We start from the raw sequence: 26443 nt of genomic DNA, 5'->3' as shown, positions 1-26443 counted from the left end.
AACCAATCAACACATGTTTGTTGAGTCCTGCTCTGTGTCAGGTGGTATTTGGGGAGCATGGAGCTAGAGATTCAGGGTGCCATGGTAAAGGAAGCAGAAAGAGTTACTTCCTTCTCAGAGCTGCCGGGGCAGGCAGAGAGTAAGTGAATACTTTCTCATCACTTATTAACTAACTTCAAGGATGCCCTCCAGTGCACATGAGGTAAGTCACACTTGACGTTGGCTTTAGTGCCTGCACCCCAAGGGTCTGGAGCCAGATTTCCATTTTCCTTTCTCTCAGGTTCATGTGTTTATTACTCCGTGGCACCTGAGCTTCCCTTTGACTCTGAGCTTCATGGGCATGATGAGCTGGAGTTGCAGGGACAGGTCTGAAGAGCAGAAGCTGGTCAAGTTTTGGCAAGTCATAGGAGTTTTTGTTTGTTTAAGTGTTTTTTAGAGTCTGGGTCTTGCTCTGTCACCCAGGCTGGAATGCAGCGGTATGATCATGGCTCACTGCAACTTTGAATTCCGGGGCTCAAGCGATCCTCCTGCCTCAACCTCCCGAGTGGCTAGGAATACAGGCGTACAATGCCACGCCCTGCTAATTTTAAAAAAGGAAATTTTGTAGAGATGGGGGAGTCTCACTACATTGCCCAGGCTGGTCTCAAACTCCTGACCTTAAGCGAACTTCCCTCCTTGGCCTCCAAAAGGGCTGGGAATACAGGCATGAGCCACTGCACCCAGCCCTGTTTGTTTGTCTTGAAGAGAGGGAATAAATGTTTGTAGAATAATAAAGTTAAAACTCTTAGGTGATTAAAGGTAGGGTTTCAAGGCTCTCTGGGAAGAAATGGGAGGAGGAGAGGATACCCGGTAATGGGTAGTCAGGTCTAAAACCTAGAGACAGAAACAATATGACTAATGGGAAGCTTCATTAAATTTTACTATATGGCACGTGGTCTTTTTTAAACCACTATATGGCATTCTTTTCTTTCTATAGGAAATGCATAAAATCTACATGACTTGCACATGCACTGGACCTGGATGTGGACCTTTTAGTTTGGATGGAAGGAGTGCTGGGGCTGAGTGGGAGAGTGAGGGCCAATGCTCCCCGGCTCCAGCCTCCCAGGGTACAAGTGTGCAGGTTGGGTCAGAGCAGGGTTCCTAGTCTTGCCCTGCTTGTTCAAGCAGCTTCACCCACCAGTTCTGGTCTCATGGGTACCATTTTTGCTCCCTGGAGGAATCCCTATGGCCAAAGTGTACACCCACTGGGAACTGTCCAGCACTGCAGAGCATAAGACGTGGGTGAGGGGCATATTGGCAGGGAGACCATCTTTTTTCCATCTTGCCTCAAAACAGAGAGCCCCTGGCCAGTCGTGGACTGTTTGGTCATGGCGATAGAAGGGGATGAGGACTGACCTGGGGGCAGTTTGGAACAGGTGATGCAATGGAAGCCAAACTTTGTGAAGCTTGCTCCAATGCTCAGCTATTGCATCACCTGTCTCCAAGGTGCTGGCAACGTCAGGAGGCCAATGATGCTCTTAGAGATTCTCTAAAGCAAACAAGCCCATCCTCATTATGCTGCTCCAGGATCCTGGGGAAGCTGGCAAGGTCCTGGTGGTGGTGTCAGGTCACCCTAAGATCTGAGCAGACTGGAGGTGCAGGAACCTGACAGGTGATTGTTAAGTGGCAGATTTAGGTCTAGAATGCCACCGCCTCATTCTCAGTGTGCTTCAGCTGAGCTCATATCCAGTGATTGTCAATTACAAACAAACAAGGTTGGAATCAGTCTGCTGGTCTCAACATGGAAATCAAACTTGCCCACCTCTCTGTTTTAATGACTTCCCCCAAAACTCTGTTAAAGGTGTAGAGCTCGTGTTCCCTCTTCTCACATCATATAGGCTTTTCTGCAGAGAAGAGGCTGGTGGAGTGGTATGTCCATGGACAAGCTGGGCTCAGATGGTCCAAGAGCTTCCCTGGTGGGCAGGGCTACTGCTATGGACTGAATTGTGTTCCACCACCCCAATGCATATGTTGAAATGCTAACCCCCAATCTGATTGTATTTGGAGATAAGGCTTTCAGGAAGTACTTAAGGTTAAATGTCGTTCTAAGAATGTGGTCCTAATCTGATAGGGTTGGTGGCCTTATGGAAGATCTTGTTCTCTCTGTCTTTCTGAGTGCACCAACCAAGAAAATGCCATGCGAAGACATAGCAAGAAAGTGGTCATCTGCAAACTAAGAACACAGCCCTCAGCAGAACCCAATCATGCTGGCACCCTGATCTTGGACTTCCAGCCTCCAGAACTGTGAGAAATAAATTTCAGTTTCTTAAGTCTATAGTATTTTGTTATAGCAGCCCCAACTGACCAAAATAGCTACTGTCTTCCTGGCTTCCTGGCTCTATTCTTGTCTGAGCAATTCCTCCCAGCAACTCATAGGCACAGAACACCATTATAACCCAGCTGGAAAGCAATGTGGCAACATGTTGCAAAAATGGTTATGCCTTTGGCCTTGTCGTTCCAGTCCTGAGTATTTTTAGGAAGCAATTTAACAGGAGGAAAAAACTGCGTACATTGAAAATGCTCCCTGGAATGATATCTTGTAGGTCATCAAATCAAAAGTATTTAACAATATATAACTATCCAACAATAGGGAACTGTGTGTCAACTTGGTAAAATGTGGTACAGTAAGACCGCAAGTAGTAAGGTTATACAGAGATATGGAAAATATATATATATATATATATATATATATATATATATATATATATATATATATATTAGATGCAGTTTCGCTCTTGTCATCCAGGCTGGAGTGCAATGGCATGATCTCCACTCACTGCAACCTCTATCTCCAGGTTCAAGTGATTCTCCTGCCTCAGCCTCCCGATTAGCTGAGATTACAGGCACCCGCCACCACGCCCAGCTAAATTTTGTATTTTTAGTATAGATGGGGTTTCACCACGTTGGCCAGGCTGGTCTCGAACTCCCAGCCTCAAGTGATCCACCTGCCTTGGCCTCCCAAAGTGCTGGGATTACAAGCGTGAGCCACCACACCCTGCTGAAAATAGATTTTATAGTATATAGTTTAAAAAGGCAAAATGCTACAACTTGTGAGTATTTTAATTAGAAATATGAAAAACATGCACCCATGCATAGGAAGATAGGAAGAAAATATGCCAATTAATTAACTTAGGGTGGTGGGATGTTAGGAATTTAAGCAATTTTTCCTTATGCTTGAAGTTTCATTGTTTCTACAGAGAACAAAACAAGGCTTATGCTTGTCAGCCTGCATCCTGAGCAGAGCCTGTTTTTCTCCTCCAGCTAAGAGTTTCCAGACCCACAAGAGGCCTTTGATGCCACAGTCCCATGGGGCTGTATTTTATAATAGAAGAGAATATCCACTTGTTACAGGAACTGCATCCTACACAGCAGTGTAAACCGTCACCGCAGTCCCCCGACAGCCTTCTCTGCACCTTTCCATTAACCTCGCACCTGAGCTCACCTCTGGTTAATAGAAAAACCTCCATAAAGCCTGGAGCCAAGACTAACTTCAATTTTCCACAGCTTTACACTGGCCAGCCATTTCTCACACTGGGGTGTCACATGATTTGCTTCTCATGACAAAATTCCCTGGAACCAGATCCTTCTCTGAGTCAGAGCTGAGTCCTCAAGCTGAGCTGAGTATCGGGTAGCAGGAGGGAGGTTATGCTCAGCCTGGCCATTTTTGACATTGAGACATCAGGAACGGGACTGCCTCCACTTCCCTTCCCAGTGACGGGCAGGAGCATCTCCTGCTTCCGTGTGTGCCGGGGCAGAGTCCATCTGACAGCCCCTAGACTCACAGGGTCTTTTTATCTACATTACTCAGGTGCACGCTGTCCTTCGGAATTAAATTTACACAGGAAGTGGTGAATATTCTCCATTGATACAGCACCTTTATTTACTTTTGAGTCTGTTTTATTTTCAATGTAAACAAATGAATATATGGCAAAAAAAACACCCCAAAAAACACAAAATGATCTAAAGAAAGAAACAAAACTATATCCCCACCCACCAGTTCTACTCACTGGGAGTAATTATTGGCAAATTCCTACGTATCCTCGGGTCTATCTTGTTTGCATATGAGCAAAATCTGTATGAATATTCTGTATACCTTAAAAACAAAACAGGACCAAGTTAGGATCATACTGCGCTTTGTTCTAGCCCTACGCTTTTCACTTAATTATATATCTTGGGGATCTTATCAGCACATATATACTTTAAATTTTTTATTTTTGTGGGTACATGGTAGGTGTATATATTTATGGGGTACATGGGATGTTTAGATACAGGCATGTAATGTGTAATAATCACATTCTGGAGAATGACGTATCCATCCCCTCAAGCATTTATCCTCTGTATCATAAATAATCCAATTATACTCTTATTCTAAAATATACAACGAAATTATTATTGACTATAGTCACCTCATTGCAACACTTTTTTTTTTTTTTTTTTTTTTGAGATGGAGTCTTACTCTGTCACCAAGCTGGAGTGCAATGGCGTGATCTCGGCTTACTGCAACCTCCGATTCCCTGGTTCTCTTGCCTGGCTTCCCGAGTAGCTAGGATTACAGGCATGAGCCACCATGCCCAGCTAATTTTTGTATTTTTAGTAGAGACGAGGTTTCACCATGTTGACCAGGCTGGTCTCAATCTCCTGACCTCGTGATCCGTCCGCCTTGGCCCCCCAAAGTGTTGGGATTACAGGTGTGAGCCACTGTGCCTGGCCAACACATATATTTTTAATGGGTGCATAGTATCTTACTTATAGCTGTAGCATAATTTATTTACATAGACATAATTTATTTAATAGACATTTCAGGGATTTTTCTTTTTTTAAAATAACAAATGCAGCTGCAAGTGAGCATTTTGTGCACATAACTTTGTGCACATTTCAAAGTATATTTGTAGGGAATTTTTTTTTTTTTAAGACAGGGTCTGGCTCTGTCACCCAGGCTGAAATATGATGGCATAATCATGATTCACTACAGCCTCCACATCCTGGGCTTAAGCAATCCTTCCTCCTTAGCCTACTGAGTAACTGGGACCACAGGCACGTACCACCAAACCCGGCTTATTTTTGTATTTTTGGTAGAGATTGGGTCTCACTATGTTGCCCAGGCTGGTCTCGTACTCCTGACGGAGCTGAGGCCAGGTGTTCGAGACCAGCCTGGGCAACATAGTGAGAGGCCAGCCTGAGTCTCCCAGAGTGCTGGGATTACCTGTGTGAGCCACTGTGCCCAGCCTGGTAAATTTTTAATGATGGAAATACTAGGTCAAAGGTAACATGCACTTAAAATGTTGATTTCTGCTGGCAAACTGAATAAACTGCTGTAGTTTATTCTTCTACCATCAATGTGTGAACCTACCAGATTTTCCACATTCTAGCAAATGATGCATGCAAACTGTTTAATTTTCCCAATGATAGTTGAAAAGTGGCCTCTTCCATTATTTAATGATGATACTATCATTATTTAATTTGCATTTTCTCAATTCTGAGGTTAAACATCCTTTAATGTATTTGTTGGCCATTTATATCTTTTTGGTTCAGTGAAATGCCCTGTTCTTGACACATTTTTTTCCTCTTGGGTTTTTGTCCTTCTATATTATTTTATTAAGGAAATTAGCTCTTTTTCTGCTTGTAGATTATAAATCTGGTTTTTTTGTTTGTTTGTTTTACCATTTGAAGCCTGTTTATTAGATTATTTTTCACAAAGAGGAAATTTTAAATTTTTATTTAGCAATTTGAACAATTGTTCTCTGTTTTTTAAGTTCTTGCATTGGTTTTTAGGTTTTGCATTGATTTATCTCCATTCCAAGATTTAAAAATCCATGTTTTGTTTTCTTCTAGTGCTTTAATAAGATATATTTTTAGGCCAGGCACGGTGGCTCACGCCTGTAATTCCAGCACTTTGGGAGGCCAAGGCTGGTGAATCATGAGGTCAGGAGTTTGAGACCAGCCTGGCCAACATGGTGAAACACTGTCTCTACTAAAAATACAAAAATTAGCTGGGCGTGGTGGCGCGTGCCTGTAGTCCCAGCTACTCGGGAGGCTGAGGCAGGAGAATCACTTGAACCCAGGAGGCAGAAGTTGTAGGGAGCTGAGATCACGCCACTGCACTCCAGCCTGGTGACAGAGCGAGACTCTGTCTCAGTAATAATAATAATAATAATAATAATAATAATAATAATAATGTTCACTTTTACATTTAAATCTTTGAACAGTCCAAAGCAGCTTCATTCAGTAGAACCTCCTGTGTTGATGGAAATGTTCTGTGTTGTCCAATATGGCAGCCACCAGCCCCATGTGGCTCTTGAGCACTTGAATTGTGACTAATGCAACTGAATATGAGTTTTTACCATTATTTAATTTAAATTAATTTAACTGTAAAGAGCTCCAGGCGACTGGTGGCTACATTATTACAACTAGAGTTTATTCTGGTTTTAAGATTGCAGGAAGAGCCAGGCGCGGTGGCTCATGCTGTTAATCCCAGTACTTTGGAAGGCTGAGGTGGGTGGATCCCTTGAGCTCAGGAGTTCGAGACCAGTTTGGGCAATGGTGAAACTCTGTCTCTACAAAAAAATACAAAATGAGCCAGGCATGGTGGTGTGCACCTATAATCCCAGCTACTCAGGAGGCTAAGATGGGAGAATTGCTTGAACCCAGGAGGCGGAGGTTGCAGTGAGCTGAGATCTCACTACTGCACTCCAGCCTGTGCAACAGAGACCCTGTCTCAAAAACTAAATAAATTAAAAAATAAAAATAAAAAAATTGCAGTAGGGGCGGGGCACGATATCTCATGCCTGTAATCCCAGCACTTTGGGAGGCTGAGGTGGGTGGTTCACTTGAGGTCAAGAGTTTGCGGCCAGCCTGGCCAACATGGTAAAACCTTGTCTCTACTAAAAATACAAAAATTAGCCGGGCATGGTGGTGCATGCTTGTAATCCCAGCTACTTGGGAGGCTGAGGCAGGAGAATCATTTGAACTGGGAGGCAGAGGTTGCAGTGAACCGAGATGGAGCCACTGAACTCCAGCCTGGGAGACAGAGTGAGACTCTGTCTCAAAATGATAATAATAATAATAATAATAATAATAATAATAATTGCAATATGGATCACTTCCCCACCCCTACTCGCTGATACCAGTTGTCCCAATGTCATGCACAGAACCTTGCTTTTGCCCTAGATGTGAAGTGTCCCCATTGCCATATGCTCAATTTCCATGTATATTTGAGTCTATTTCTGGATACTCTGCTTACTTTCATTGATTTTAGGGAAACTTTATATCTTTATGAGAGCTTTCAGAGAGCTTCTCTACCTTACAGTATCTCAGAGCCTTAGGATTGCTTAACAGAAACATCTATTGGCTAACCTTAGCATAGAAGATGGCAATTTATTCTTTGTTAGTTCCCATTCTATTTTTTGACCATAATATTTAACCTGAACTAACAATGATGGCAAAGAACATAGAAAAACAGCCGAAGGGTTGACACGTGGAATTTTTAAAGAACTAAACACACACACACACACACACACACACACACACACACACACACAGATTTTTCCAAAGTTTTCATTCTCCTGGAGCCAGCTCCAGGTAAATGGGGCTGGGGGCAAGGTCAGTTTCAGCACCTTCATGTATGCATCTCTGGGCCCTCCCATCCCAAACAGCAGATATTCCTCACTCATCCAGAGCCTCCCAAATCTGTCCTCCCCTCCTCTCTCAGGAAAGGACTGAGCCAATGTCCTCTCACAGGAAAGCCCAAGGGGTCCTTCCCAGAGGGATGTGCATTTCAAAGGGGAGAAGATCCCTGGCTTTATAAGAATAATGACAAATTACTGGGGAATTTCTGGTACAACCATTGAGAAGAGACTAATAGTTGGGGGTGTTAAGTCACCTTCTTGTCTGCTAAGAAACTTGATTTCTTAGATTTGTAAGATTTGTTGGCTGGGTATGGGGGCTCACGTCTGTAATCCCAGCACTTTGGGAAGCTGAGGTGGGTGGATCACCCGAGGTCAGGAGTTCGAGACCAGCCTGGCCAACATGGTGAAACACTATCTGTACTAGAAATGCAAAAATTAGCTGGGTGTGGTGGCGTGTGCCTGTAATCCCAGCTACTTGGGAGGCTGAGGCAAGAGAATCACTTGAACCTGGGAGCGGAGGTTGCAGTGAGCCGAGATGGTGCCACTACACTCCAGCCTGGGCAACAGAGTGAGCCTTGTCTCAAAAAAGAAAAAAAAAAGATTTGTCAAGTGGGTAAACGCCAAGGGGGAGCCATAAGGAACAGTCTTGACTCCCAGCTGTCTTTCTTCTTTACTTTTCCAATCTTGATCCACTGCTTCTCCCTTTCCTGTCCTAGATGACTCCTTGGGGCGGAGCCACAGCTTTCCGGCCATCTCAGCTGCCACAGCCTCATTTAGGTGATGCCAATTCCCTTCCCAAGATTAAATGATTGAGGCCAGCCTAATACCCACACTTCCACCTTGTAACTGGGGTGTGCCTAGCTCTGCCAGCCAAACCCCACCGTGGGAGAGAGGGTACCTCTTCTCTTCCTTCTCCCATCCTTTCCTGTCTGTGTCTTCTGGGGCCAGGGCAGGCAGGGAAGGGCTTAGCAGAAAGGAGCAAAACTCCTTTGACTTTGAGTGTGTTCTTTGTAGTTCTCTCTTGGCTCCCAAAGCTCTTGGCCATGGCACGCGTCCAAGTGCTGGCTCTTTTGTCACACTCAAGATATCAGCTCTTAGGAGGGCCTATGCTCTAACTAACTGCAGCTCTGTTCAACTCCTGCCCCAGGGTCCAGCCCATGGCTTCTTACAGCTGAGGACCCTATGCCCTTGAAGGCTGCCTTTGTGGGTGGGTTCCCATAATGTCAACTCTAGTCAGCCTATCTTCTCAGCATCCACTTGCCACTCCCCTCCCGAAGAAAAAACTCATGCATTCATACCAGACCCAATGTTGGGGGTCCGTGCAACTGTACAGCAGCCCACTCCCTCAGCCCTGCCATCTACCACAGGTGCCCCAGCCAGCTCCCACTGTCAGAGCCCTCCGCTGGGGAGCAGGATCCAGTTTTCCCAAGCCCTCCCACCTATGCTTCACCCCAGTGCATCAGAATGGCCTGCACTTCTGCAGCTCAGCCACTGTTCAGGTGGAGTGAAGCACAGGCACCAGCAGCCTCTACAGAGTGTTCTCTTGGAGGCATCTGGGGTTCAAGGTGGGAGTAGTGGGAAAACACTTCAGCACCCTCCCCCACCTCAGTTGGACTCTTCTCCATTTCTTCCTCAATTCCTACCAGCAATCTCCAGTAAACTCCAGTCTTTCTCAAGATAGCTTGCTGGTGGGAGTGGATTTGAGTACTGCAGAACCTACCTGGTCAACTCAGGATAAATTCCACGGGGATGTGTCTTTTTTTCTTTCTTTCTTTCTTTTTTGAGATGGAGTTTCGCTCTTGTTGCCCATGCTGGAGTGCAGTGGCTCAGCTCACTGCAACCTCCATCTCCTGGGTTCAAGTGATTCTTCTGCCTCAACCTCCCAAGTAGCTGGGATTACAGGCGTGCACCACCATGCCCAGGTACTTTTGTATTTTTAGTAGAGCTGGGGTTTCACCATGTTGGTCAGGCTGGTCTCGAACTCCTGACCTCAAGTGATCCACCCGCCTCAGCCTCCCAAAATGCTGGGATTACAGGCTCGAACCACTGCGCCTGGGCAGGATGTGTCTTGAAGCTCGACTTTAGAACCTAAAGTTATTTTAGAACAAAATGCTAGAACAATAGTTAGCAAAATAAAAAGAGAAACGTTTTTAAGTTGACAGGTATTCAGATTCATTTTGAAGTTCTTTCTTTGCATTTGCACTGCTACTGGGAAGGTTTTTTCTCCTCTTTGGCAAAAGTAGGCTTCACGTTATCCATTCCAGCTCGCTGTGTACAGCAAGCATGTGACAGGCATCCTACCTGGCTGCGGCTGCAGCTGTAGCTGAGCACAGCCAACCCGTGGAATCCAGGTATGAGCAGCAGAGGCGGCCCCACGATGCTTGGCAGAGCTATAAGTTCTCCCCATGGGAATAAGTAGAAATTGTGCTGAGTTCAGATAAGAGGTATCTAATTAATAAGAAATTTAAAGAAGACCCAGTTTGTTCCCCACAGTGAGTAGTCTCCTTATACAAATGCCATAGACTGGTGGATTCAGGGAACCTCATGGCCACAATGGGCTTAATTGTCCTTTATGGAAGCACAGCTGAGCACAGTTGGGAATCAGAAACGGGGCTTTGGGAAATAGATATCGGCCAGTTAGTTCCACATTCATTTTCAATTGCTTGTGAACTGAAATATTTTCCTCACAAACAAAACACAAAAGGTAATTTTCCTCTGCTGATGTTGAATTTTGAAAATCAGGCTGGATCCTAGCACTTTGGGAGGCCATGGCAGGATGGTTGCTTGAGCCCAGGAATTTGAGACCAGCCTGAGCAACATAGCAAGATCTTGTCTCTACAACAAAAATTGTAATTAGCTGGATGCGGTGGCGTGCAACTATGGGCCCAGCTACTTGGGAGGCTGAGGTGAGAGGATTGCTTCAGCCCAGAGGGTCGAGGCTGCAGTGAGCCATAATTGCACCACTGCACTCCAGCCTGGGCAACAGAGCGAGACCCCGTCTCAAAAAAACAACAAAACAAAAACAAACAAACAAAACGACAAAAGAAAATCATGCTGAAGACCTTTTGGTTTTGCATTTACATCCTAGAACTATAAATCGGTAGCCAGAGCTGTCCTGAGCACCTTGTCAATGCTGAACGCATGAGCAGGGGCCTGTCCATATCCACTTCTCTAAGTCCATGAGCTTCCTCATTTTCTCTCAAGGGGAGCCATTGTTTTGTTCAACCCACATCCGTTGAGCAGCATTGATAACCGGCTCCTCAATGAGTAGAGGCAGGGGAGGGAAGAGTCAGGATGTGTGTTCTAATCCTGGTGCTGGGTCTGACTCTGAACCTTTTCATATGAGTCTCCTCGGGCTGTTCTCACAAAGCCCCGCAAACTGGGTGGCTTAAAATAACAGAAATTCACTCTCTTGCAGTCATGGAGGCCAGAAGTCCAACAGCATAGGTGGCAGCAGGGTGGGTTCCTTCCTGGGGGCCCGGGGGTTGAATCTGTCCCATGCTTCTCTCCTGGCTTTGCTGGGAGTCTTTGGTGTTCCCTTGGTTCGTGGACACATGGCTCCAGTCTCTGCCCCTGTAAACGCACAGCATTCTCCCTATGTCTGTCTCTGTGTCTTTTCTTTTTATAAGGACATCAGTCGTATTGCATTAAGGGCCCACCCTACACCAGTAACACCTCATCTTAACTTCACATCTTAATGACGTCTACAAAGACTCTATTTCCAAATCAAGTGTATGCACAGGATTAGGACTTCAACCTATCATTTTGGGGGACACAATTCAACACCTTCCAACCTGGCTTCTGCTATTGGGATATTTACTGTGAGAGTCACGAGGAAGAACTTTGGAGTCCTGGTGACATCTAGCTAGCCCACACTACCTCTTCCCCAGTGCCTTGAAGAGCAGCCCTTGGCTACTGACGGCAGACCAACGATTATAATTCGTGTTCTTCATTTGGTCACACAAAACCCAAACTAATGCACAAAAATTGAATGTAGTGGGTCACAGTTAGTAATTGAGCTAGTACAATCTTTGAAAAATCTCTTCTCCACAAATCTCAAATTCTTCCTAACCATTTGGTCTAACTGCATTTTGATACTTGTTCTCTTGCTCTACTTATTTCCCTCTGAGATCGCAAATGAATCGCCTCGTGAAAGCACACACTTGTCGCATTTCTTCTGAATTCTGATCCCTTTAATTCTGGTCCTTTGTCACTGACACCCATCCTGTTTCCTGTGCTAACAGACCAACAGCTTTGCTCTTATCTTCACCCCCTGGCAGCATGACTCTGAGCTGTGTCCCTAGATAGCATGTAATTCCCACCAGTGTTTATGGAATATTCCATCTAGCGCATCTCCTCCGCTGACTCATCATGTTCAGTTTGAGAACTTCAAACTGGCCAGTGTTGGTGGACGGGGCAAGTGTGACCCAAGAGCCACCCACAGGCAAGTAGCCCCCGCTCCAGGCTCACCTCTTCTTCCCTTTTGCATAACTCCATTCCAATCCTCCATCTGTCAGTCTCTTCCACTCAGCTCTCCCAATAGCTGGGCTGTTTAGTTGACATCAACTCCCAACAGCTGGGCTGTGTGGTTGTCCTGATGTTGACATCCTTGGGCTGTTTGTAAAGGAGAAGCCTCTAGCATTCTTACTGCATTTTTGTTTTTGTTTTTGTTGTTGTTTTCTTTTAAGATACGGTCTCGCTCTGTTGCCCAGGCTGGAGTGCAGTGGCTCCATCATAGTTCGCTGCAGCCTTGGACTCCTGAGTGCAAGTGATCCTCCCATCTTAGCCCCCTGAGTAGGTGGGACTACAAGCACACACCATCATGTCCAGCTAATTTTTTTATTTTTATTTTTTTGTAGAGACAGAATCGCGCTATGTTGCCCAGGCTGTTCTCTAACTCTTAGGCTCCAGCAATCTGCCTGCCTTGACCACCCAAAGTTCTGGGATTACAAGCATGAGCCACGGTGCCTGGCCCTGCTTAGAGCTGAGGTCCTGCAGCCCGTGCTCAGGTGCTGTGAGAGGAAGGGGCAGGGTCTCAGCATCTTGAAAGCAAACATTCACTAACCTCTCCATCTTTAGTAGGAGGCTCTGCTCTCAGGGGAGCCTGGTGTGGCCAGCCCAGAGGGTGTTTGCTTTCCTCTCTCCCAAGGGTCCAGTCCCAGGCTTTGCTGGGTGGGAAGAGGCATTTTCTCAACTGAGTGTTGCTTAAATGAACTCTCATCCCATTCTCCTTGGTTCAGTTCTATGCCCGCTGCCCCAACTCACCCTACTTCTGGAGGTACCTAGACCTTTCGGTGATTCCACACCTTGGATCTCAGCCTTCTCGTAGCCTGCACAAAGTTCCCAAGCTCTGCTGGGTCTTTATCACTCACTGGACTGCTTTCCAACTTCCAAGTCTTGTGGCTGTTGTTTATTCTTCCATTTTTCTCATTTATATGCCTTAAACAACACTTTTGTATTTGTATTATATGGCTCTATTGTAATACATTTAATTAATCAACTATTGTTTTGGATATTTAAATTGTTTCCATTTTTGTTATATTACAGTGAAGCTGAATTGAACAGCCCTGTACATATTTGTTCCTATAGCTGTTGACTATTTCTTAGAATAAATTATTGAAAGAGAAATTGCTGGAAACACAAACATACACAATATTTACTATATATTATATATATCAAAAGATTTATGAGTATATACATATTCATATCATATATATAATATATATTCTAGATATATATGATAATATTGTTTAAAAAATGATTTTGGTGCTATCCAGTGCAGGTATGCTTTTCTTTCATTAACTTTAGTGGTTGGGGTCTGACTCCTTGGGCTCAAATCTCAGCTCTTCCACTCACAGTTGGTGTGATATCATTTAGCCTCTCTGTGTGTTAGTGTGCTCTTCTGTGAAATGGCTGTGATAGATTGCCTGCCTTTCACACAGTAGTGAAGATTCAGTACAGCCATCACCGTAACGACCCTGGCACTGAGCCCAGCACAGAGCCAGCCCTTAGGAAGGTTCTGAAACGCTGGCCTTCAGGGTCAGGAAACAGCATTCCTCTTCCCACCTGACTTCTTTCTTTTTCCTTTTTTTTTTGAGACAGGATCTTGCTCTGTCACCCAGGCTGGAATGCAGTGGCGCAATCACTGCAGCCTTGATCTCCTAGGCTCAAGCAATTCTCCTACCTCAGCCTCCTGAGTAGCTGGGACCAGCGGTGCATACCGCCAACCCTGGCTAATTAAAAAAAAAATTTTTTTTATAGAGACGGAGATCTTGCTATGTTGCCCAGGCCAGTCTTGAACTCCTGGGCCCAAACAATCCTCCCGCCTCGGACTCCCAAAGTGCTGGGATTATAGATGTGAGCCACTGCATCTGATCCCCACCTGACTTCTGAACAATGCTAAACTAAATAAAAATATCAGTGGACAGAGACCTCAATGTCACCTTTATTACTGACAAGGCCAGATTCAAGGAACAGCCTGCTAGCTCCCTGCCTGTAGTGTAGAATTGGCACAGGTCTTGGAGGGAGATTTGAGTCTGTGCCCAGCTAGACACTATACCCCATCCCTCCCTTGGGCTGGTCTGCATAGAGACAGAGGGGAAAGACAGACTCTTGGGGCTTAGACTGTCGATAGGTTACCTTCTTGCAGCAGAGCAGTGAGAGCTGGAGCTGTTGCCCACGGAGAGCTTGCTCTGCTACCGTGGAGTGGGGGCAGGAGACCTGGAGTACTCTGGGAAAGTCCTTCTTCAAGAAAACCAGAGGGGCAGCTTCTCTAATCCCAGCTTTCTGTCCTCTTTACTCCCTGCGCTTCCCGTTCAAGACAGTGGTCGACCAAGGGCCAGCCTCACCTCCCAGAGCAAGCAAAGCAGCAGTTTGTCTGAGCAGGGCTGTGCCCACCTTTCTGTGATGCTATCTGACACCAGGCGCTGGGCTTTCAGAGATTCTCTTAGGCGCTTAGAGAAGTACAGAGTTTGCTCCTAAAGAGCTCTGAAATCAGTCAGAATACCACGTGAGTTAAATCAACTCAAGGTCACTTTTCCCCAAGGCCAAACACTCACTCTCTTTTATTTCTCATCTCAAATTATATCTAACCATGTTGTTTGACATTTCTTATCAGAGGTTCTGCAGTGTGATCAAATGACATCCTAAAGATATCCCCAAAATTCAGAAGCTCTAACAAGTTGTCTCATATTTGAATATAAGCCCTCTCTTCATTAAGAAATTCCTGGGGATAAATTAAAACCAGAAGATTAAGTTTCCTTGCAACTTGAAGTTCAAAGAAGTGAAAGTCCAAGGGAATCAAAGTTGGAATTAAATTTTTTTGCCCTTGCGAGTTAAAAGTCAAAGAAATAAAAGACCAAACATCAAGCTCCCCAGTTTCTAATTTGTCTCGGGCTCAGACATAGATGTTCTTGACAGATGTGCAGGTAGCCCCGGGGCGCTTCCTGCAGTTGGATTCTCCTCTGTTGGAGATGGCAGGGTTTCCAACTTTGGCCACAAAGGACAGTTACCTGGTGTCTTAGTTGCCTAGGACTGCCATAACAAGAGAACACAAACTGGATGGCTTAAAATGACTAAAATTAGCCTGGGCAACATAGTGTGACCCCATTTCTACAAAAAATAGAAAAAATTAGCCGAGTGTGGTCGTGCACATCTGTAGTCCCAGCTACTTGGGAGGTGGAGGCAGGAGGATCATGAGCCCAGGAGTTCCAGATTGCACCACTGCACTCCAATCCGGGCAACAGAGCAAGACCCTGTTTCAAAACAAAACGAAACACAAGCCAACAAAAGACAACAGAAATGTATTCTCTCATAACTCTGGAGGCTAAAAGTTCAAAATCCAGGTGTCATCAGGATTGGTTCCTTCTGGAAGCTCTAAGAAAGAAACCGTCCCATGCCTCTCTCCAGCTTCTACACCTTGCTGTGCCTTGGCTTGTGGACCCTCCACTCCAGTCTCTGCCTCTGTCTTCATGTCACCTTCTCTGTGATTCTGTGTGTCCTTTTTCTGTCTCTTATAAGGACACTCATAGGATTTAGGGCCCACCCAAATTCCACATGCTCTCTGTATTAGTCTGTTCTCGCTGCTGCTAAAGACATACCCGAGACTGGGTGATTTGTAAAGAAAAACAGTTTTCATGGACTCACAGTTCCACGTGGCTGGGTAGGCCTCGCAATCATTGTGGAAGGCGAGGGAAGAATAAAGGCACGTCTTACATGGGGGAGGCAAAGAGACAATGAGAGCCAAGCGAAAGGGGGTTCCCCTCATAAAACCATCAGATCTCATGAGACTTATTCACTCCCATGAGAACAGGGTGGGAGAAACCACCTCCATGATTCAATGATCTCCCACTGGGTCCCTCCCACCACACATGGGAATTATGGGAGCTACAATTCAAGATGAGATTTGGGTGGGGACACAGCCAAACCATATCGCTTTCACTTTGATCCTTAATTAATTCCATCTGCAAATATACCCCATTTCTAAAGAAGGTCACATTTTGAGCTTCTGGGTAGACACAAATTTTTGTGCTACTGCACTTGGGGAGAGTCAGTGACTCCTGGCACCCAGGCCGTATCCCACCCCTGTGGATTCAGAATCTCTAGGGTGAGGCCCCAGCAACAGGACTTTTCAAGCCTCCTTGGGCGATTCCAAAGTGCAGCCATGGCTGAGAAGCTGATCCAGGCCTCGGGAAGTTGAGTGGGTCTCTTGCATGTACCCCTTTTAAAGCAGTCAAGAGTGAAAAGGATGGGAACAACAGAATACCCTGGGCACACCCTCTGCCTTAAGGAAGCAGGCTTGTACCAGCCTTGCAGCCACCTGGGGGTGGGGTCTGAATGAGGGAATGAGGTGGAGAGAATCTTGCTTTCACCTCCAAGGATGCCCACCAGTCCAAGGCAGTTGACTGCCACTTTTGTAGTATATTTTATTTCAGCTGGAGTTTTTACAACTTAGATGAACTTTAGCTTTATTGAGGGCAGACTTTAAACACTCTTTACGCCGAATTCTGTTAGCTTGGGTTAATTGTATGGCCGTGGTGGCTGGCAAGAAATTAAGCAACCCTAAATATTAGTATAGCCTAGTTAAACTTTGGTTTATTACTAAAGACTTATCACTGCTGTTTCACGTGGGGGTGTGGTTGAGCAAAGTGTTTTGAGCCGCTTTCGGACTGGTGGGCATCCTTGACCTCTGAATGAAATGCAAGTGGAAGAACCTGCATCAACGCATTGTGATGATGCTGTGTTTGCTTCATCTCAGGGAGAATCCATCTGCTCATCAGAGACTTCGCTGCCTTCTGGCAAAGCTTACGCATTTGCTGTGGGTACATACCCCATTCCCAGGTCTTACTTGAGATAATGCTTTTCCCCTTTCTGCATAAGGAGACCTCTGATTTGGCCTTTGCCTTTTCAGCCCAACCTCTGGGCTGCTCCACTGGGCTTTATGGGGCCTGGCCTTAAAGTGTTTGGCTGGTGTGGGTTTCCCACTGCTGCCCTTGTCTGATGGTGGTGGTGGGGGCCCTTGAGTTTCTAGTAGTTTAAGTTATTTCCTAAATTAAGCATGTAATTTTTCTTAATTTTGTATTTCTTCTTAATTGTTCTTAATATTTTTTCTTAATTTCTTTCTAATTAAGCATGTAGGGTGAGCCTTGTTTGCCTGGTCTGAGTGCCTTGCCTCCTATTTCCTTGTGGCTTTGGTTTTTCTAACTGACTCCTCCATACTCTGCCTTGTGAGGCTGCCATAGTGAGAAAAATGAAATCAAAATGTTCTAGGTCTGTCGCAACCACCCATTGTTCAAAAAGTTCTCCTCTGCTGACGACTAACTCCCTCCTGAGTGGGACAATTCTACCTGGGTGATATTCTCCCATAAGATGAGTATTTTGGCTGGGCTTGGACTTGATTTGTTACTGCCCTCCTTGGCTCAGGACATCTTGGCTGAATCTCCTCTTAGAGTTCTTATTCCTGGAGCTTGTTCTCATAGGGTACAGAAGTACCCATGTCATGCTGACTGTGACACCTTAAAATCCACCTAAAGATGCTGCTTTCAGTGTTTTGCTCTCATCTTGGTGGCCTTCTCTCAAATCTGTTCAGATTTCCTGTGCCCACTTAGAATAGCTGTTCAACCATTAATGGTGTTTTTCCAGCTACACTTGCCATAGACTCTGATGCTCCAAGTGGTTCTCCTGGAAAGGTGGTCCTTCCAACATAGCCCTGAGAGTGCAGAGCTGCTAGATTTCATCAGACACCATTGATGCTTCTGATCTGTTAACAATGAAGATCATGTTGTCAACAGCACCCTCCCCCTTTCCCCTGTAAGAGCAGTTAGGTGTGCCCTTTCCTATTGATATTTGTCTTTCCTAGACCATAGATTTCATTTTCCCCCTGCAATACTGTTGTGGATGTCTGCTAGATTACACTCTTTCTCCTATATTATAAGGAAATTTCTTTCTCCAGTGGAAACCTCCTGGTTGGCCCTATTTTTATTTTTCCAAGGCTGCTGTTCTGACTTTCAGCCTTAAGCTTTTTTTCTTAAATGTCACTCTGATTTCTTCTTGATTTTTGAGCAAATATGATTTCTAAAGACAACATGTAACGGGCACAGGCCTTTCTAGCTTTTGGGTTGGCAATAACTTACTGACTTGTTTCTCTGTCTTAATCTAAAATGGCAGCTTATGTACACACACACACACACACACACACACACACACACACACTTGCATATATATGTGATGGTAGCATAAATATATATTATTTTACAACAGAGACCTGTGGGGTTTTTTTAATTTGTGTATTGCCAGAAATCCATCACTTCCTGAGAGTGAGTCAGTTTGGGTCTCTGAAGGTGAAAGCCAAGATCAGAACTTTTGCAATGAACAGATCCAGAGCTGACTTGAGACCCTAGTGGGGAACCACATAATTCAGCTGAGTCCCTCCAGCTTTCTCCTTGGCTATACATGGAGAATAGAATTGGGTATCCAATCTATTGCTGCCCATCTCCCTCATGCTAAAGCTTCAGTGAATGTGGAACCCAGCTGCCTCATAGTTTAAAAGCAGAATATATTCTGTCAAAGGAGGTCTCCTTTAGCCTTAGCCTCACCTGCAATACCAGCATGCATATTCCGATGTGTCTGCACAGTGTGGTTCAAGGTCAATGCACAACAGCCGGCACATCAAGGCCACCCACGCAGCTCATGTCTGGCTAATGCACTTGCTTGGTCCCTGTGGCGCATGCCTGTGCTAAGGCCCCGGGGTCTGTGCAGCTTCCCTGCAGCTTGTACCACCTGTTCAGGTTTGCATAGGCTGTCCTAGCTTGGGAGCATTTGCTAAGGTGTGGGTAGCTTGCACTTGGTCAAGGTCAGGACCTACTGCCCTTCCTGTTTAACAACAAAACTACCCAAACCTGCAGCAACTCACCAAGGTCAAACCTCATTTGGACTGTTTTAAATCTGCTTGTCCAGAAGCTACGAGAAGTTATTAGAAACTGTTGATATCCAAAATCTGCAAGGTCTGTTCTCACTAAAACCTCAATTGACCTGTGTCTTTTGTAATCCATAAAGGACTCCTATACCAGATCATGGTTTAGACATATGGCAGCACCAGGCTTAGAAGTACCCTATTGGCTCACCGTAAGTAAAGACAAAAGATGGCAGCCTGGAATGCTTGGGGCTGGAAGCTGTAGATGGAAATTCAGCTCTTTGCTGGCAGGAGTGGGGACGGGCCTGAGCTATGCATGCTCCGTCTCTTTCCCTGACTTCCCAATCAGGTCACTGACCCCAGCCTTCTAGGGAAAAGTAAGAGGTAGGACAAGGACTTGGAGTATTTAGGGAAAGCTTCTCTCATGGAAACCAGTGTAGCAATGGAGAAGCAATGGAAATGCAGTTATCACTATTTAGGAGGAGTTGAATGCCTTTTAGACACTTAGCACTATTTTGAGGTTGTCATGGCCACATCTTATGTTAGCTTTCAAATGGTAAGCTTCACATGAGCATCTAAACTCTGGGGTTTCCAGTGTCCCTTATTGAAGTGTTAACTTAAATTATACACAAATCTTTCACCCGAAATGCAGTTAATTGCTGTGGATTGGTAGAGCTCCAATGTCCACAGAAAATGTAATTTTGGAAATAAAATTCACTGTGATATAAGTATCTTAATTTATTTGACTCTTTGCCAGTTATAAGGTTTAGAGAATTGGCAATTATATTAGGATCATTTTCATTCTATTTCGTGTCCTTGGCTCTATGATGGCAACAAAGGGAAAAGGTTGCATATTTGTTTCCAGTTGAGGCTGAGCCCCTACATCTCTTCTAAGCTGCATCACTAGAGAAGGAGCTCAAGTGAAGTGTACCCTTGATGGATGTTCGTGAGTCCTCTCTGGCTACAAAATGGACTGTGGGTTTCTGGAGGATTGGTTTTGCTGCCATTTCCATGACACTGGTAGCCTCCCCGATATACTTACCTAGAGCAGGATAAATGGCCCCTGTGGTGTTGAATTGGAATCAGAGGTATCAGCATAAACTCATCATTTTATAGAGCAAGCATGACAGGTGATAGATGGTATAGTTGTATGTGTACACATGGGTTATTAACACATACATATCTTTCCCAGCTTTGTCTGCTGAGAAAGTCTAGAAGCAATGACATCCCACTAACAATGAGTAAACCTAGTGCCTGTAGCTTGGTCTTTAAACACCATCCCCAATAAAAGGAGGCAAGGGAAGTGGTGCCAGGGCAGGGAAAATACAAGATGAGCCTAGAACATCTTGTGATGCCAGGAAGTAAGGGAGTGCTCAAGAAAAGATGGAGTTTGTTAAAAGATTGCAGGAATCAACCCAAAGGACCTGTTAGTGGTCCAAGCTGAAACATTTGAGCAAGAAAATAAATGATGATAGTACTGAATTTTAATGTAAAGAATAAAATAAGTGTGGGCATGGTGGCTCAAGCTTGTAATCCTAGCACTTTGGGAGGCCGAGATGGGCAGATCATGAGGTCAGGAGTTTGAGACCAGCCTGGCCAACATGGTGAAATCTTGTCTCTACTAAAAATACAAAAATTAGCTGAGCATGGTGGTGTGTGCCTGTAATTCCAGCTACTGGGGAGGCTGAGGCAGGAGAATGGCTTGAACCCAGGAGGCGGAGGTTGCAGTGAGTCAAGATTGTGCTACTGCACTCCAGCCTGGGAGACAGAGCAAGACTCCGTCTCAAAAAAACGAAAACAAAAAAACCCAAAAACCAAAACCAAAAAACTAAAAATTAGCTGGGTGTGGTGGCATGCACCTGTAGTCCCAACTACTGGGGAGGCTAAGGCAGGATAATCGCTTGAACCTGGGAGGCGGAGGTTGCAGTGAGCCGAGATAGCACCACTGCACTCCAGCCTGGGCAGCAGATTGAGACTCCATCGCAAAAAAAAAAAAAAAAAAAAAAATAGAAAGCCATCATGAGTTTGTAATGGTGTAAATGAACAATTGCATAAGTAGGTGAGTAAATGAGGGAGCAATAGAATTTCAATTACTAAAGAGAAATAGAATGAAGTAGAGGAGAGCATTAAGCAAACACCTCAGTAATAATTGCTGCAGATAAGAGCCCCACTGATAATAAAATTAGTAGTTTTAGAAACCGCTAAACTAAACCTAGAAACTACTAAGTAGTTTAACTAAAAACTAAATAGTTTTAAATTAAAATTAGAAAGTTACAGGAGAAATAGGGTTTGTATAGTCTCAAAGTATCTCCCCCAAGATACTAATCAACTACCAAGAAGAGAAAGATAGTAACTTACAATGGAGAAGGCTGGCAGAGACCAACTTAACCACACGATCAAGGTAAATGTGCACATATTGGCATCAGGAACTCCTTGATAAGATGCACGGAAAGGATGTAATGTCATTTTTTTGCCACATTATTGCTAAAAATGTACAACTTTGCACCAATCATGAGGAAACATTGGCCAAACCTAAACTGAGGAACATTCCATAGAATAACTGATCAACATTCCCCCAAAATTTCAAGGTTGGGAAAGATGGGGAAAGACTCAAGAACTGTGACACACGGGAGGAGATTGGTAAAAACTAATTAAATGCAACATGGGCTCCTAGATGAGATCTTGGGGCAGAAAAAGCACGTTCATGGAATAATTGGTGAGATTCTAATAAGGAGTGCAGTTTGGTTAATAATACCATAGCAATATTAATTTCCTGTTCTTGATTAAACTATGGTTGTGTTAGCATTAGTTGGAAGCACAGTATACTACTTTTATGCCTTTTTTAATGTCTAAAATTAATTCAAAATAAAAAGTTTAAAGGAAAACATTTTCTCTCCTTATGACTTCATGCAGGGGCAGGTCCAGATTTTGTGGAGCCTGAAGTATAATTTTGGAGAGCCTCTTTAAGAATAATGTAAAATTACGAATATTAGGTACAAAAACTATGAAAATTAGCCACCAAAATGAATACTAATTTAAAAAGGGTAAAGAAAGTACAAGAGATTTTTGATTATATATAATTTTGGAATTGAATTGCTCTCATGCCACAAACACTGACTTATGGAAAAATATTATGCTTTTGGCCTGGCACGTTGGCTTATGCCTATAATCCCACCACTTTGGGAGGCTGAGGTGGGCAGATCACTTGAGGTCAGGAGTTCGAGACCAGCCTGGCCAACATGGTGAAATCCTGTCTCTACTAAAAATACAAAAATTAGCCAGGTGTGGTGGCAGGTACCTGTAATCCCAGCTACTCAGGAGGCTGAGGCAGGAGAATCACTTGAACCCGGGAGGTGGAGGTGGCAGTGAGCTGAGATTGTGCCACTGTACTCCAGCCTGGGCAACAAGAGTGAAACTCCGCCAAACAAAACAAAAGAAAACAAAAGAAAGAAAGAAAAATATTGTGCTTTCAATGAAACCTTGTTTATGTAGCCCATTTTGCTCTGTGGGTAGTAATTTGCATGCTGTGTCATCTAGAGCCATCAGACTTGGTAAGGACAAAATGTGTCCAATATGTGAAAACACGATCTAAAGGTTGACGTGCACAAATGATGCATCTTTATCCACAGGTGTGCCTGCTCTTTGTATCACTGCTGCAGGTTAGCGTGCATTTACACAGAAATTCTGGTAAGTTCTATTCACACAATTCCCATGGATAAAGGAAAACTTTGTCCATTTACAGCTGCATGTGCAGCATTAAAGGGTAGATTCCTTACGAGAGAGGACGGCCACTGGAGGTAGCCGCCGTGAGCACTGAGGCCTCAGCTTATGATTTAAACACGTAATGGCTGGAAGAGCTTCCCACAGACCAGCTTCAGCCTCTGACTTTAAACTTGTGTTTACTCTTCCACCCACATGTTTGGAGTGCTGGAAACTGAAGAGTGCTGGAAACCCACACGTCACTAGGCGATGGCCCGGTCAGTATATCAGGTACATCAAGTGAGCCACAGAGTGGGCGACAGGATTATTCCTGGCAGCTATTCCTATGCAGAGATGGCTAGAAGTACCATAACCATGTACAAAAAGTTCCTAAGCCAGATATTAATAAATAACCCATTAAACTCCAACTGAATATATCACCAAGGCAACTTCCTCTCAGTGAGATCCCAAAACTGCCCACAGCAGTTTAATGTCACCAGCATGAGGAGAAGTGGACAGAGGCAAGGATTAGAGAGACAGAGAGTGCATGGTTGTAACCAACTGCTGTTAACACGTCTTAATTTTGGCCAAGCACAGTGGCTCATACCTGTAATCCCAACACTTTGGGAGGCTGAGGCAGGAGGATTGCTTGAGCCCAGGAGTTTGAGACCAGCCTGGGCAACATATTGAGACCCTGTCTCTTCAAAAAAAAAAAAAAAAAATAGGTGGGCATGGTGGTGCACACCTGTAGTCCCAGCTACTTGGGAGGCTGGGGAGGCTACAGTGAGCTGTGATTGTGTGGCTGCACTCCAGCCTGGGCAACAGATTGAGATCCTGTCTCACAAAAGCAAAAACAAAAAAACCTTACTTTTGCAACATTTTCACAAACATGTATGACCATATTAACATGTTACCTGGCCCTCCTGGGGTTTTGGGAAAGGCCCCTGCAAGCCAAGAGCACTGACATGCAGACGTCATTCGTTTCATGCCATCAGCCCCTGGCTTATTCCTGGCTGTCTCTCACCTTCAACCCTGATCCCCACACGGGCCCCTTCCTAACACTGGCCAACAAGCCTTTTCTGTCTCTCTTTCCCATCCCTTCTCTTCTAGTCCCCTTTTGTGGAGACATCTCTGACTCTGGCTTCCTTGGCTTTTCTCTTCAAGACACTGCAAGCAAGAATGACTCCACCCTGGAAGCTAGAGAGAGGAAAGGCTGAGCATGACCCCGCACTGGTATTGCTTGTCTCTGTTCTACACTAAGAGCTTAGGTTCTCTTATAATTCAGTCCTGATGGTTAACTTGTATCAGGTGCCAGGTGAGCTCTGCATGTTGCCCCTTGGAATATTCCTAATGACTCCATGACAAAATCAAGAGTGATATTTAACTTAGGGAGTTTCGTAGGGCATAAGCTATGATCAACTGGAAATGGACTTGGCTATAGTGATGGATCAGGGCCCTGGAGGCCTGCTGGTGAACTGGGCATAAACCTTCTCGCTGCCACATTGTGGGAAAATGGTGGGACATCCCTGGGGGAGAGGCTGGGGGAGTTGTCATGGAGAGGGTTCAGGCAAAGAGATGGGGACAGTGGCTATTTGCCAATTGGTATAGAAACATTTCAACATTTTATGGCCTTCCTAGTGCCAATAGCCTGAATGCCAGCTCTGGAGATGGGAACTGAGACTGCCTTCATTTCACAGAGGAGAAAAAAAGATTGAGAACCGGTAGCTCATTCAGGCTCACCCAGGAGTCGTTTGCAGAGGCAGCTGTAGCACGCACTTTCTTAACCATTGGCCTTGGGGCCTCTACATGAAGGCAGGGTCCCCTCTTGCTTCCTCTGTCATTCACTCTGTCCCTTGGTGTTGCTACACCTGTACCTACTGGAATGGGAAATCCATGCTTTAAAGGAGAGGAAATCAAGTGAGAGCCTCTCATGAGAAACCATCTGGCTCCAGGAATGGGATCGTGGCATCTGGGAAAGGCTTTTTCGTGGAAGGGAGAATGCCCATGACCTCCTCAGCTGCTGCATCATTGAAGGCCAAACTAGACTTTGCATAATTATTTTAAAAAGCCCAGCATGTAGATATGCCAAGACCAGCCTGACCAGATGAGCCAAGCAGCATCTTAAACAAATGCCACTTAGTATGAGAATGCCTTCTCCCAAATTGTTGCCAATGCTGGCCATCTTCCAACAGTTTAATCTTTGACAATTAGGCAGGTAGGAATTGGTATTGTGTTGTTGTTTTGATTTGCGTTCACTTATGAGAGAGGTTGAATATCTTTAGAGTCAATATTTAGGAAGGTGATTTTTGACTACATGTATCAGAACTAAATGTCTGTACTTACATGTGAATTTTATTAACAGAAATGGATCATTTATTCTGGCACAGGAACACAAAGGTTTATAATAATAATAATAATAATAATAATAATATTTGACAATTACTGAGTGTTTACAACATGCCAGATGCTGTTCTAAGCACTTAATGTTATTATCTCATTTCGCTCAGACAACAACCTATTGGGAGGCACTTCGTTTATTCCCATTATACAGATGAGAATACTGAGACACAGAGAGAGTAATATCTTGCCCATAAGTCACAAAGTGAATTTATTACCGTACTGTAAATAATTGCAACATCCAGAAATAACTTATATAGCTGTCAATTAGAGAACTGGCTAAATAATATTTAGAACAGTCATTCAATGGAATGCTGGACAGCTAGCTACTTGGATGAGTAACATAGATGCTTATTACTATGGTAAGGAAAGATGTCCAAGATATATACTACTAGGTGAAAAAATAAGTGACAAAATAGTATCAGCCCACTTAAGTATATTATAAATGTGTTTATGTATGGGTCTGCTTCTGTATAGGTAGACATTATCTGGAAGAACATTTAAGAAACCCATATAGGGCCAGGCGTGGTGGCTCATGCCTGTAATCCCAGCACTTTGGGAGGCTGAGGCGGGCCGATCACTTGAGGCCAGGAGTTTGAGACCAGCCAGGCCAATGTGGCGAAACCCCATCTTTACTAAAAATACCAAAAAATTATCCGGGCGTGGTAGTGCATGCCTGTAGTCCCAGCTACTTGGGAGGTTGAAGCAGGAGAATTGCTTGAACCCAGGAAGCGGCGGTTTGAGTGAGCTGAGATTGCGCCACTGCACTCCAGCCTGGGTGACAGAGTAAGACTCCATCTTAAAAAAAGTAATAATAATAAAGAAGAAGAAGAAGAAGAAGAAGAAACCCATATAGGACAAATAACCTACTTGTGGTTACCTATGGAACATAGAATTGGGATAAAGGAGAGAAACCTTATTTTTCACTTTATATACTTCTATACAGCTTGATTTTTAAAAAGTACCATGAATATGTATTACTTTAGGAATTTTTTAAAATTACATTTTAAATGGATGTCATGGTTTCTAGCTCATGGGACTGTTTTGAGAATTAAAAGGGCTGACAATGAAGGAGTCTAGCCTATGCCCGACTTAAAGCTAGACCTCGGTGAATATTAATTCTGAGCCTAATACGATGCTTGGCAAGGGGTATGCTATACATCATTATTGATTGAAGAGTGAGTTCTGCTCTGAGCAAGTGTCCTAACTGCTTTAAACTTGTTTCTTTTAATTAAAATAATGTGCAAGAAAAACAGCATGCAACTCGTAGAGC

The 26443-nt window shown here is 44.4% G+C and overlaps 2 annotated features.

Moving 5' to 3' along the window:
- Window positions 11559–12383: a transcriptional cis regulatory region, noted in NCBI's record as "candidate enhancer chr2.7130 targeted for multiplex CRISPR interference". NCBI's record gives its function as "positively regulates AGAP1 gene expression with high confidence in K562 cells {active_cell/tissue: K562}" and the evidence as "EXISTENCE:mutant phenotype evidence [ECO:0000015][PMID:30612741]".
- Window positions 12064–12260: a silencer, noted in NCBI's record as "fragment chr2:236369201-236369397 (GRCh37/hg19 assembly coordinates)". NCBI's record gives its function as "represses an EF-1alpha promoter that drives an FKBP-Casp9 reporter gene in an ReSE screen in K562 erythroleukemia cells {active_cell/tissue: K562}" and the evidence as "EXISTENCE:reporter gene assay evidence [ECO:0000049][PMID:32094911]".

This window comes from Homo sapiens, chromosome 2 (assembly GCF_000001405.40).
Source record: "Homo sapiens chromosome 2, GRCh38.p14 Primary Assembly".
In the NCBI taxonomy this organism is placed as follows: Eukaryota; Metazoa; Chordata; class Mammalia; order Primates; family Hominidae; genus Homo; species Homo sapiens.
This window is presented reverse-complemented; position numbering and strand designations above follow the sequence as displayed.